This window comes from Homo sapiens, chromosome 12 (genome assembly GCF_000001405.40).
Source record: "Homo sapiens chromosome 12, GRCh38.p14 Primary Assembly".
In the NCBI taxonomy this organism is placed as follows: domain Eukaryota; kingdom Metazoa; phylum Chordata; class Mammalia; order Primates; family Hominidae; genus Homo; species Homo sapiens.
The window spans coordinates 103011038-103022892 of NC_000012.12; the positions used below are offsets into that span (position 1 = coordinate 103011038).

At 40.5% G+C, this 11855-nt stretch overlaps 3 annotated features.

Moving 5' to 3' along the window:
- Nucleotides 295–3981: an enhancer, noted in NCBI's record as "VISTA enhancer hs1540". NCBI's record gives its function as "enhancer in: midbrain (mesencephalon)[4/4] | forebrain[4/4]" and the evidence as "EXISTENCE:transgenic organism evidence [ECO:0001131][PMID:17130149]".
- Nucleotides 1070–3475: an enhancer, noted in NCBI's record as "VISTA enhancer hs1354". NCBI's record gives its function as "enhancer in: hindbrain (rhombencephalon)[15/16] | midbrain (mesencephalon)[15/16] | forebrain[15/16] | nose[11/16]" and the evidence as "EXISTENCE:transgenic organism evidence [ECO:0001131][PMID:17130149]".
- Nucleotides 1309–3339: an enhancer, noted in NCBI's record as "VISTA enhancer hs998". NCBI's record gives its function as "enhancer in: hindbrain (rhombencephalon)[7/8] | midbrain (mesencephalon)[8/8] | forebrain[7/8] | nose[4/8]" and the evidence as "EXISTENCE:transgenic organism evidence [ECO:0001131][PMID:17130149]".

Sequence of the window (11855 nt, forward strand, 5' to 3'; positions counted from 1 at the left end):
GTATGTTTTTCTACAAATGACTATCCTGGTTGTGACATGCATTCTCAAGGGAGGTGATATCACTCCCATGGAGGCAAAAATTGGTTCTTGGGGTGGAGGAAAATCTTCGATATTATAATGATTTGTAGCCCTTCAAAGGACAGTATAAAAATAGATAGTATATCCCTGGTAATTTCATGGAAGCCGATTAGGAAAAAAATAGCTAAAAAGGCTTCTTAGAAGAGCAGTAATAATAGTAATACTATATATTTGAAAGGGTTGGGAAATACTGGGTAGTAAGGAAGTGTTTAAAAACACACCAGCGCTGTTTCTTTACACTCCCCAAGAAAAAGACATACTCCCCAAGAAAAAAGATTCATGTGTACACTCCCCAAGAAAAAAACATATATTGGAGGATAGAAGACTTGAGTTATAATTTTCATATTTGCCACCAATGAGCACAGCCATGTATTTACTTATTTATCAAATATTTATTGAATGTCTTGTATGTTCCAGGCACTGTATTAGATAGATACACTATAGCAAAGCTCCTATTCTTGTAGAGTTTATATTTGGGGATGGGACAGGCAATAAATAAGCTTCGAATGCCTAATAATAATGTAACAATGATGATAGCAACAAATATAATTATAACTGCTGTCTAGAGTAAATAATCAATTTTAATAATTAATAATAATACATGATATACAGAAATTTCAAGAGGACAACAGATACAGTTGAGCTTATAGAGTGATAACAGAGATGGTTTCCTAAGACAGCGGTCTATGACCTGAGTCTCAAATAGTGAGAAGGATAGAGTCCCAAAAAGATCTGGGGGCAGGGCTTTCCAGGCAGGGAGGAGAGCAAGGCAGAGGTCCTGAGGCTGGAGTGAGTTTGTTTTATCTGAGGAACAAAAAAAGGTAGATGTGGCTGGAATGAACTGAGACTGGGAGAGACAGGCTGGAGATCAGCTAGGGCCAGATTATCCTGGACCTGCAGGCACTGATGGGGAGCTTGATTTTATTTTAAATGCAGTGTGACATCCTGCAAGTCATTCTGTTTCTGTCAAATGGCAAGGATGGGGTGATGAGGATGGAGCAGCTGAATGATTCTCACAGTCTGGAATGCTAAGTCTAACCTTATCTAATTCAGGACCTGGGAGAGGTGCTTTGAGTATCTACAGTGAGGAAAGTAAGGTAGCAAAAAGACCTCAGATCCTGCCTCCCAGAATCCTGTCACTAGGGCTGGGGAAAGAAAGGAGTGGAGAGCGTTCAGGGCTGGGATGCTATATTCCTGTAAAACCAGAACCTGTTCTTCTTCCACTTTTAATTTTTGAGGTGCATAGGATTTTTTTTCACTTTGACAATCTGCTTCTCATATTACTTTAGCTTTCTGTAGTGAGAAAAAGCACAGGATTAGGGGTCAGGTGCCTCAGGCTCCAGAACCCCATCTGTTAGTAAATAGCTAACCTGATCCAGACCATTCCCGGATCTGGGCCTCCAGACCCTCATCTGGGGACCATCATTAGGATTCCTTCTGTGATTTGATTATTTTCCTCCCTGCCAGAGCCGGGGAGGAGGCTAAACCCTTGCATGCAAGTCCACCAAAGCTGTCCTAAAATAATAAAGCAATTTCCTTTGAAATGGTCAGAAGAAAAGTCAGGAGGCCCTTGCAAAATGTGATGAAACCCAGCCCCAGCTGAATATTAAGTTAGCGAGGGGTCTGCAATGAGGGTGGGGGGCTGGGGAGAGAAGAGAGATGCAGGGTTGGGGAGAGAGAAATTTTAATTGCAATTGTTTGGCCTGCTGATCCTAGGCAAATGACAAGAAGCCCCCAAGCAGCCTCAAACACAGATATTTGAAAGGCAGAGACGGCTGGGGGATGGTTTGGTTTCTCCCTCCCCTCTGAGGCTGTTTGAGGAACGGTCTACAGTGCTGACAAGCACGGGTTTTGGAGGCCATTGAAAAGTTTTGGGCCTAAATAGGGTAGGCAGCTTGGCTTAAGTGTTGCTAAGGAATACCTGGCAACCAGCAACAATAGGCCTTTTAGAGAATCCAGGGCAAACAGTGACCGTGGTAATGGGGTGGGCTTAAGGGTCTCCTTGCCCGGCTGGGCCCCTCCTCTTCTCACACAGAGGCCTGGGCACTGGGCTATGTTCCGGAAATTCCCTGCACAAAGCCCCATTCAGTGGGAGGAGGGCCAATGCGTGTGCTTTGGGGGCAGTGGGGGTGGAGACAGGGGATAGGGAGAGGGCGGGGGAGGGGGTACCGGAGAAGGAGCTTTACTGCCAAAAAAAAAAAAAAAAACCTCTCAAGTCTCTTTCTTCTCGCAAAGACTAAAAGAGGCACAGAAAGTGCTAAGTTTGTAAAAGAGTCTGAAAAGGTTCAGAAAAGTAGCATAAAAGGAACTGGGGAACGCCCCGTGAATTTTGAACAGAGAGCAGAAAAGGGACCCTAAAAAGCAATTAGTGATGCTGCTTGTAAATGAAGAGGCACCTAGTTTGGGGTGGGGAGCTGAGTCTGGAGGTAGGTGTGCAGGGGTGCAGCAGGTGGTGGGGGTTGAGGGGCAGGTGAGGAGAATGAAGTGGGGCGGGAAGCGGGTGAGGGGAAGGGGAGGCCAGTGAAGAATGGATGGATGGAAACTGGGGAACTGTGGCCTCAGTCCCCACTCTAACCACATGCCTTCAGGCTGCTCTCTCCTTGGGCTGTGCAGATGCCCCACCCACTCAGTTTCTGTCCCCTGGTAAGGCAGCCCCCCGAAAGTCATGGGTGCCTGGGACAGTGACCAGCACCCAGAGTCTGAGCAGTCTCCCCAGTCCCTTCAGTCTCTGATAACCATGAAAGAAGCCCTGACGTTCTGTGTGAGTGTAGACTGCACACTCCTCACAAGTAGGCAAATGGCAGGATGCTCCAGGGAGCTGGGTGTCTGCCTGCGTTCCTGGGGGAGGCTCACATGACAGTCAGTGAAGGAAGGCCAGGGAGCCAACAAATTAGCGCTCTACAAATTCCACGTGCCTGAGCTGCATAACATTCATGCTGAAATACCCTACTCAAAGGCTCTAAAGATAATAATTTTACATTTCCAGCAGAATGTGCACGGTGACAATTATCTGTATTCCTACTGTGTCGCAGCATCAACCGATAATCAAGAGAATTATGTTCCAGTTGAAAGCAGATTTAAATAAACAGACACTAAATGGAAGCCAATAATAGATGTACCAAAATAGTCCAGGCAAGGAAGCAGCCATTCAGATAAAGAGCTGTTTAGTCGAGGAGACATGAGGCATCCAGAGCGCAGAGTTTACAGCTCTCTGTCTGTGGCTCAGCCTGTCTGATTCTTTCTAGCTGTCCTCTGCAGACCCGACCAGAGGACTATCCTAAACTGATCCTTTTCCCCTCCTTTCCTTCCTCCCTCCCTTCTCCCTCTTCCTCCCTCTTCTTTGTTTCTTCAACAAAAATTCACTATTTATTATCAACGAGGTACATTTGGGCACCATCATTAAAATTAATAAACCCTACCCTTCTTTGATTTTTGTGTCCTTCTGTTCAAGATTTAAACCGGATCATGTTGGCCCTGCATGGGGCTAGGGAGGAGGGTATTAGTAAGTTCTTTCAAGGAAAAATCTAACTGCTGTTTCTTTAAGAAGGGAGAATGGGATACTAAAGAGACAAACTATTGGAGTTCTACTACATATTCTTTCAATGATTGCACATTTGTTGGAGGTCACTGTGTGTTCCAGGCATTGTCCTAGGTACTGTGAATTCAAAGATAAAAGCACTTGTTCCTGCCCTCACAAAGCTTCCAACCTTGCAGGGAAGGAATAAGCAGGCCTGGTGACAGCTGGATGGGCATGGGTACAATGCATGATGGAAGCACCAGAGAAATGCTCTGCCGGGGTAAGGTGAAGGAGACATCAAGAGGAGGCAGCTGTGCCTTGAAGGAAAATAACTTAAATGAATTTACAAATTCATCTGGAAATAATTGTTGAAGCACAGGAACGAGATAAACTGCTGAGAGAACATGTAGAATGAGGCAAAGAGAAGTGTGTACACGCAAACCAACATTAAAGTCAAGTTCAACAAAAATATTGAGTCTCCTCTGAAAACTAGTATTATACTTGCTTTTAATGTCTTCAAAACTTAGCAGAATGCCTGGCATGCAATAAAGCATTTAATATCACTTGAGTATTTAAGTCATCACATAATACCTTCCACAATGCCCAACAAAACACATCTTCTTTTTGTTTGTTAAGAATTTAAGCCATGTGCTAAGTATCCATTATAGCATCTATCTATCTACCTATCTATCTATCAATCTATCCATCTATCATCTATTTACCTATCTGTGTATCTACCTATCTTACACATATAAAGGCTAACATTTATTGAACATCATCATGAATCAGATACCTTGCTAAACTCTGCACACAATTTCATCATATAGTTAATGTTAATTCCATTTTATAAATGAGGACACTGAGGCTCAGAACAGTTTAGCCATCCAAGAACTAAAACCTTGCCTGGCCAACTGCAAAGCCTGTACTCTGATCCCAAGGTCACACACTTCTCTCTATCAAAGAAGATGAAACATGAGTTGAGGTCTTTAGGAGCTTATTGCCTGGCTGGGGAGAAAAGAACACCTTCTTGAAATGGTAGAGAATAACCATAAAGTGCAAAGTAAGAAAGAACCTGTTATATTGGTAAGTTACCAAGAAAACTGCTTGAGGAAGGCTAATGCTAGACTTAAAGTTAGACAGTTGTTAGTTTGGATCCCATAACCTACTTATTGTACAATGTTATGTGCAATGAATGCCAATTCTCCTAATCTATTAACTGAGTGGAAAATATTTCTTCACAGGTACATTTTTGACTCTATGGGAAGCTATGTTATAGAAAGCTCAGTGAACAAGATGGACACCCACATTGTAGAAATATTTCCTCCCATCTCACTTTAACAGAAAAAAAGCCCAAACAAACAAAAACAAGACAAATTGAAAAAGAGCTTCAAGTAGAGAAAGCATCAAGAATATAGAACTACATTTCTTTGTCAAAATATTTATAATAAAAAGAAATGACATCATTGTGGAAAGGCAAAGGCTCATATTTATAAATATTAGAAAGAAAAATTTAGCAATGAATATTATGTGATGATATTTAAACTTTGAGAAGATAGTTGGATGTTTCTCTTTATAAAACAGCTATAAATTAAGGCCAAAAGAAGATGGGAAATTCTAGTTTCTCTTTAGTGGTTTTCTTTTACTGTCTGTATTTATTATTACTTTGTAGCTACACATGATTGCCAGAATAAGGAAAGTAATCTACTCCACTAATTTATCTGCTCAGGAGGAATGAAAGTCAAGGAAGATGAAATTGAATTTCTGTTTTATTCAGCATTCTTTAAGAATAGTTTTCTTTAGGAAAAATATCTCATTATTACTTACAATAACAATAAGGAAAAATTCTCATTTCCTAAATGTCTCATTTAGGAAAAATGTCTCATTATTACTTACAATAACAGTAAATAATAAAAAGTATCCATGTTTTTTAATAATGGGCTTTTCAGGACCACAGACAGCTCAGAACATTTTAGTCACTTACACACCCTGCCCATTGTATATCATATCATGGATAGATTTGAAATTTCATATACATTCTCATTATACAATTTTTAAAATTTTCTTTCTTTTCTTTTTTCAAGACAGAGTTTTGTTCTGCCATCCAGGCTGGAGTACAGTGGCATGCTCACAGCTCACTGCAGCCTTGACCTCCTAGGCTCAAACAATCCTCCCACCTCAGCCTCTCCAGTAGCTGAGACTACAGGCATGTGCCACCACACGTGGATAATTTTTGTATTTTTTGTATAGATAGGGTTTCATCATTTTTCCCAGGCTGATATTGAATTCCTGGGCTCAGGCGATCCACTCACCTCTGCTTCCCACACTGCTGGGATTATAGGCATGAACCACCGCACCCAGCTCAATCTTTATTTTCAAATTTATATTTTCAGTCTAAAAGAAAAAGACGTGTTTGGGAATGCTAAGTCTCTAGTTATTTTTCCTCATTTTCATTCATTGTTGGTATTTCATCTCAATTTTAATTATGCACTTAATGTACTCAGTAATGAGTGATAAGATTAGCTAAGATCTAGATTGTCCTCAAATTGTTTCTTCAAAATGTCCTTGACACTTTAAAGCAAAACTTACTCTAATTGAGTTTGAATGTGCAATAAAATGGAGATATAGAGAAGAAATAAATCTGTAAAATATCAGATTACATTTACCTTTTTTTTTCAAGTTTCATATAAACCAAGGTGAAGAGGTGTTCTAGAGTTTCTCCTCTCCTTTCCAATGAGGGGAGGACCTCCAGGGTCAATAATTTAGAATGGGGTTAAGAAGGAAAAAAATATGGACAGAGAAAGTCAAGAGGCAGTCGGATGTGGACTGGTATAAGTAGCTATATCATTTAACCAAAACTCTTTCAGTTGCTAGTGAAAAAAACCTAAATCAAACCAATGTGAACAGTAAGAGAGAATTTGTTGATCATATATGAAAAAGTACAAGACTATACAGCCTCAGGAACCGTTGTACCTGAGTGCTCATATTACATATTATTAGAATTTTTTTTACTCCCTATATCTCAGCTTAACTTTCTTTACAATGGCTTAATTCTCAGGGAGGTTTTCTCTTTATGCTAACAAGGTGGGCACCACTAGCTCCAGGCCTACATTCTATCAGCATAGCAACTCCAAAGAAAAGTTTCAGCAAAACTTCTGCTGTTTCCACTGTGTTTAGGGGATTAGACACACTGATTGGCTAAGCCTGAGTCATGTGCTAACTCCAGAAGCTACAAATTGGATGAGATCCAGAAGAATCACATGAACTGAGAGGAGGGGAAGAGAGTTTCTTCAAAGGAACCATAGGTGAAATGAATGACAGGCAAGTAGAAACAATAGATGTTTGTTACTAGTGCATCAATTTGTTACTAGTGCCATAACAGAATACCACAAATTGAGTGGCTTAAACAACAGAAATATATTGTCTTACAGTTCTAGAGGCTACAAGTCCAAAATCAAGGTGTCAGCAGCGTTGGCTCCTCCTGAGGGCTGTGAGAGGAGGATTCACAGTGGCACCCCAGGCCTGTCCCCTGAAATCATTCTGTCCTCTTAAGCCTCTGGCCTCTGATGGGAGGGTGGCCTGCTGAAATGCATTTGGAGCTTTTTTTCTCCTTAATCTTGACGATTAGAACCTCTAATCTCTCTAGCTAGTGGTTGCACCACAGCACCCTTGGATTTCTCTCCTGAAAATGCTCTTTCCTTCTCTACCACATGGCCAAGCTGAAGATTTTTCCAGATTTTTAAACTCTGCTTCCTTTTTAATCATAAATTCCACTTTCAGATCATTTCTTTGCTGCTGTATTTGATCATAAGCTGTTAAAAGTAGCCACACCGCATCTTGAAGACTTTCTTGATTAGAAATTTCTTTCACAAGATGCCCTAGGCCACCACTCTTAAATTCAGCCTTCCGCAAACCCTAGGGCATGAATACAATGTAGCCAAGTTCTTTGCTGTGGCAGTGTAACAAGAGTGATCTTTATTCCAGCTCCCAATAACTTCCTCATTTCCATCTGAGACCTCATCATCTGGGCCTTTACTGTCCCTATTTCTATCAGCATTTTGGTTACAACCACTTAACTAGTTTCTAACAAGTTCCCAACCTTCTTTTATCTTTTTATCTTCTTCTGAGCTCCCTAAACTCTTCTAACCACTGCCTATTACCCAGTTCCAAAGCTGCTTACACATTTTTAGGTATCTATAGCAACACCCCACTTCTTGGTACCAATTTTTTGTCTCAGTTTGTTTTTGTTGCTATAAAGGAATACCCATAGCTGGGTAATTTATAAAGAAATATTTATTTGGCTTATGGTTCTGCACACTATACAAGAAAGCATGGTGCCAGCATCTGCTTCTGATAGGGCCTCAAGTTTTGCCCATTCATGGCAGGAAGAGAATGGAAGCCAGTGTGTGCAGAGATCACATGGCAAGAGAGAGAGCAAGAGAGAGAGGAGGGAGGTGCCAGGCCCTTTTTAAAAACCAACTGTCAAGAGAACTGATAAAAGTGAGAACCCATTCACCCCCATCTCCAGGAAGGGCATTAATCTATACATGAGGGATCTGCCCCCATGACCTGAATACCTCCCATTAGGACCTACTTTCAACATTGGGGATCAAATTTCAACATTAGGTTTGGAGGGCATAAATATCCTAACTATAGCAGCCTATCATCAAATAATGTCACATTCTGACCTTGTTGGAGGTTAGGACTCCAATATATTTCTTTTGTTGAGGTACACAATTTAACCCATAATATGCCTCTACACTAGGTGTACTTTATTTTCTTGGTCAAGATTACCTCTGCCCTTTTAATTTAATCATTTGTTATAGGAAATACTTTTCACCTAGAAAGGCTTCTATTGGTAGGGGCTGGGCACGGTGGCTCACACCTGTAATCTCAGCACTTTGGGAGGCCGAGGCGGGCAGATCATGAGGTCAGGAGTTCGAGACCATCCTGACTAACATGGTGAAACCCCATCTCTACTAAAAAAAATACAAAAAATTAGCCAGGTGTGGTGGCGGGCACCTGTGGTCTCAGCTACTGGGGAGGCTGAGGCAGGAGAATAGTGTGAACCCAGGAGGTGGAGCTTACAGTGAGCAGAGATCAAGCTACTGCACTCCAGCCTGGGCGACAGAGGGAGACTCTGTCTCAAAAAAAAAAAAAAAAAAAAAAAAGAAAGGCTTCTATTGGTAGTAGATGGAGATGGAGTAGTTCCCCAGCACTGTACCCTCCAAACCCAAAGAATACAATTAACACACATTTTATGAGAAACGGGTTTTTTTGTTTGTTTGTTTCTCTTAAAATGTAGATATGTGTTTAGGAAAAGGGATATAATATATAAATAAATGTGTATAAGTTGACTTTGTAATAGTTTAGTAATTTCCAAATTGACATTCCTAAAAGATCTCCATTAAAAGGAGTATTCCCTAGTTAAAAAATTTGGAAAATGTTTCTTATGTTATTCCTCTCTTGAATAACTATAATGGATATTAGCATATTGTGGTAAATTGATTATAGTGATGTTGTAATTATTCAGCTGTCCCTACACCCAGGTCCTTTGCAATGTAATGCTGGGAGTTCCTTCTATCAAAAGGTGGAATATATTTCCTGCCCCTTGACCCATTTTTTGTTTGGCTATGTGTCTTGCCTTGGACTATAGAGGTTATCCAGCTTGATGCTCTTTTGATGCTCTTGTGCTTTTCCACTCCTCTTCTTGCTTCTCTGCTGTTCTCTTCCAGCTAGCCTGCTGGAAGATGAAACATATGCAGCAGAATCAAGTTGCCCTGTCATCCTGGCCAAGGCTATGCTAGAGCAGTCAACTGCCAGACAATTCCAAGACATGTAAGCAAGCCAAGATCTGCACACCATAAAGGCAACCTGTAGACTTATGGGCAATAATAAATGGTTGTTGCTTTAAGCCATCAAGTTATTGGGCTTGTTATTTAGCATTTTTGTGGCAATAGAGAACCTACACCTGTATCAAAGCTTCCAAGAAGTCCTGCATAAAGAAATACTTTAACTTGGTTTAAACCAGCACATTCCAAATGTACCATTATAGCATAACTATTAACTTCCAGAAGAAAAAATATTGTGGAACTCTATATTGGGAAATTCTTCCGTAGTCATATCCAGGAATGACAACACTAAACAGATTTTTAAAAATTCCTAGGTTATTGATTACCATCTATGGTGCAGGCAGTGAATTGGTTTTTAGTATCCATTTAAACTCTATGCTGTATGATTCATGACTCTGTAAAGGTTGCAAATATAACCAATATATTTCTCAGATTCCCTTGAAGCTACTTTTTAAAATGCACACAGTTTCCCCCAGTTAGATATGCTCGTATGAGATTTGAAATGTGAAAGAGAGGCAGAGCTATTGTCCTATTTTTAGCCTTTGTTGTTGACAAGCAAGGTCTTGGGGACTTTCTTTTTCTGAAGCAACACTTCAATGTCTAGTTTTGCTTCTGGATGTTGAGAGGCACTGGGGGTGGCATCAGCAGTGGCATTTTGTTTTGTCCATTATGACCATCATAGTATGTTCTTGAATCAACAGTTCCAGAGTATATGAAAAGAATAGCCATGATGTTGGCACCAGTTTTCTGAGAATCAATGCTGGATGTCAAGACTAAAGTTCTCTTCTTCAACTCTCCCAATGATGTACTAAGTAACCAGATTCCTATATAAAACCGCTTTCTGCATAAAATAAATTGAGAGGGTTCTGTGTCCTGCCTGAATTGATGACAGATTCTATATTTAATGCATTTGAGTCTAAGATTCCTTATCTGTAAAAATTAGGGTAAATAATATCTTACTTGAGATAATGGGTAGCTTGTAACTTGCAAGAGAGCAATTGCTCAATTAAGGGGATTCTCCTAATATGGCATGGCATCTTTTAGAAGTACTAACTTTATTTTTCTCTTTGTTGCATATTTTAGGAGGAGGAGGAGCCGGTAACATACATTTGTTACTTGGAAAATGGGAAGTATTTTTCTTTTCTCATCTGACAAGAGCAAATGCCATTCATTTTCTGCCATCATGGCAAGGAAAATGCATTTAAAAGACACAAAGGTGAGAATAAGAGTGAGAGTGAGTGAAAGAGGCAGAGTGGGAGAGTGAGAGAGAGTTACAGAGTGAGAGAAAGAAAGTGAGAGAGTAAGATAACTCTTACTCTGTAAGGCTGTTGCTACCTTGATATGGTTTGGCTGTGTCCCCACCCAAATTTCATCTTGAATTGTAGTTCCCATAATCCCCACATGTCATGGGAGGGTAACTGAATCATGGGGACTGTTACCCTCATGCTGTTGCTGTGATAGTGAGTTCTCATGAGATCTGATGGTTTTATATGGGGCTTTCCCATCCTCCTTCACTCTGCACTTCTTCCTGCTGCCACTATGTAAAAAAGAAAGCGTTTGTTTCCGCTTCCATGATGATCATAGGTTTCCTGAGGCCTCCCCAGCCCTGTGCAACTATGAGTGGATTAAACTTCTTTCCTTCATATATTACCCAGTCTTGGGTATGTTATTAGCAGCTTGAGAACAGACTAATACATACCTTCATTCAGGGTCTTTATACCATCTGTTATTTCCTCTTTTTGCAAATCTCTCCCCCCCCCAACTCTGTGTGTGTGTGTGTGTTTGTGTGTGTGTGTCTGTGTTGGTATCTTTCCCATCAATATTTACACATATTTTAGTCTTTTTAATTAAAAAAAATTAAAATCCTCCATCTATTCCATTTCTCAGCATTTTCCTGCTTTTCACAGACAAAAGTCTTGAAAGTGTTAACTACATTTGCTGCTTTCATTTCTTCCCTTCCCATCCATTCCTCAACCCCCAGAAATCCAGATTCTGTCTTGTTACCTCCATGAAAATGTTCTCTAACATCAACTACTCACATCACTTAGCTGCGTATCAGCCATCAACCATTTGTTTCCTAAGCTTCAGCTGGCAGAATTTACCACTCCTTCCCTTTAGACACATTTTTTTTCTTTGCTCTACACAACGAGACACCCTGCTCTTTACTAAGAATTTGTTTCCTTTTCTTCCTGGCCTTGCAGCTAGACTACATTTCTCACTCTCTCCCACACTCCTAGTGACTGAATTCTACTCGATGGGATGACTGGGAGTAATGTATGTCATTTCTGAACTGAAGCTTTTAAGAAGTGAGGAGGACCTCCCATGCTCTCTTTTTACCATCCTATTGACTGAATGAAGACAAAAGCACGAGATGGTAGATCCACAAGACAAAAGGAACCTGACGAACTTGG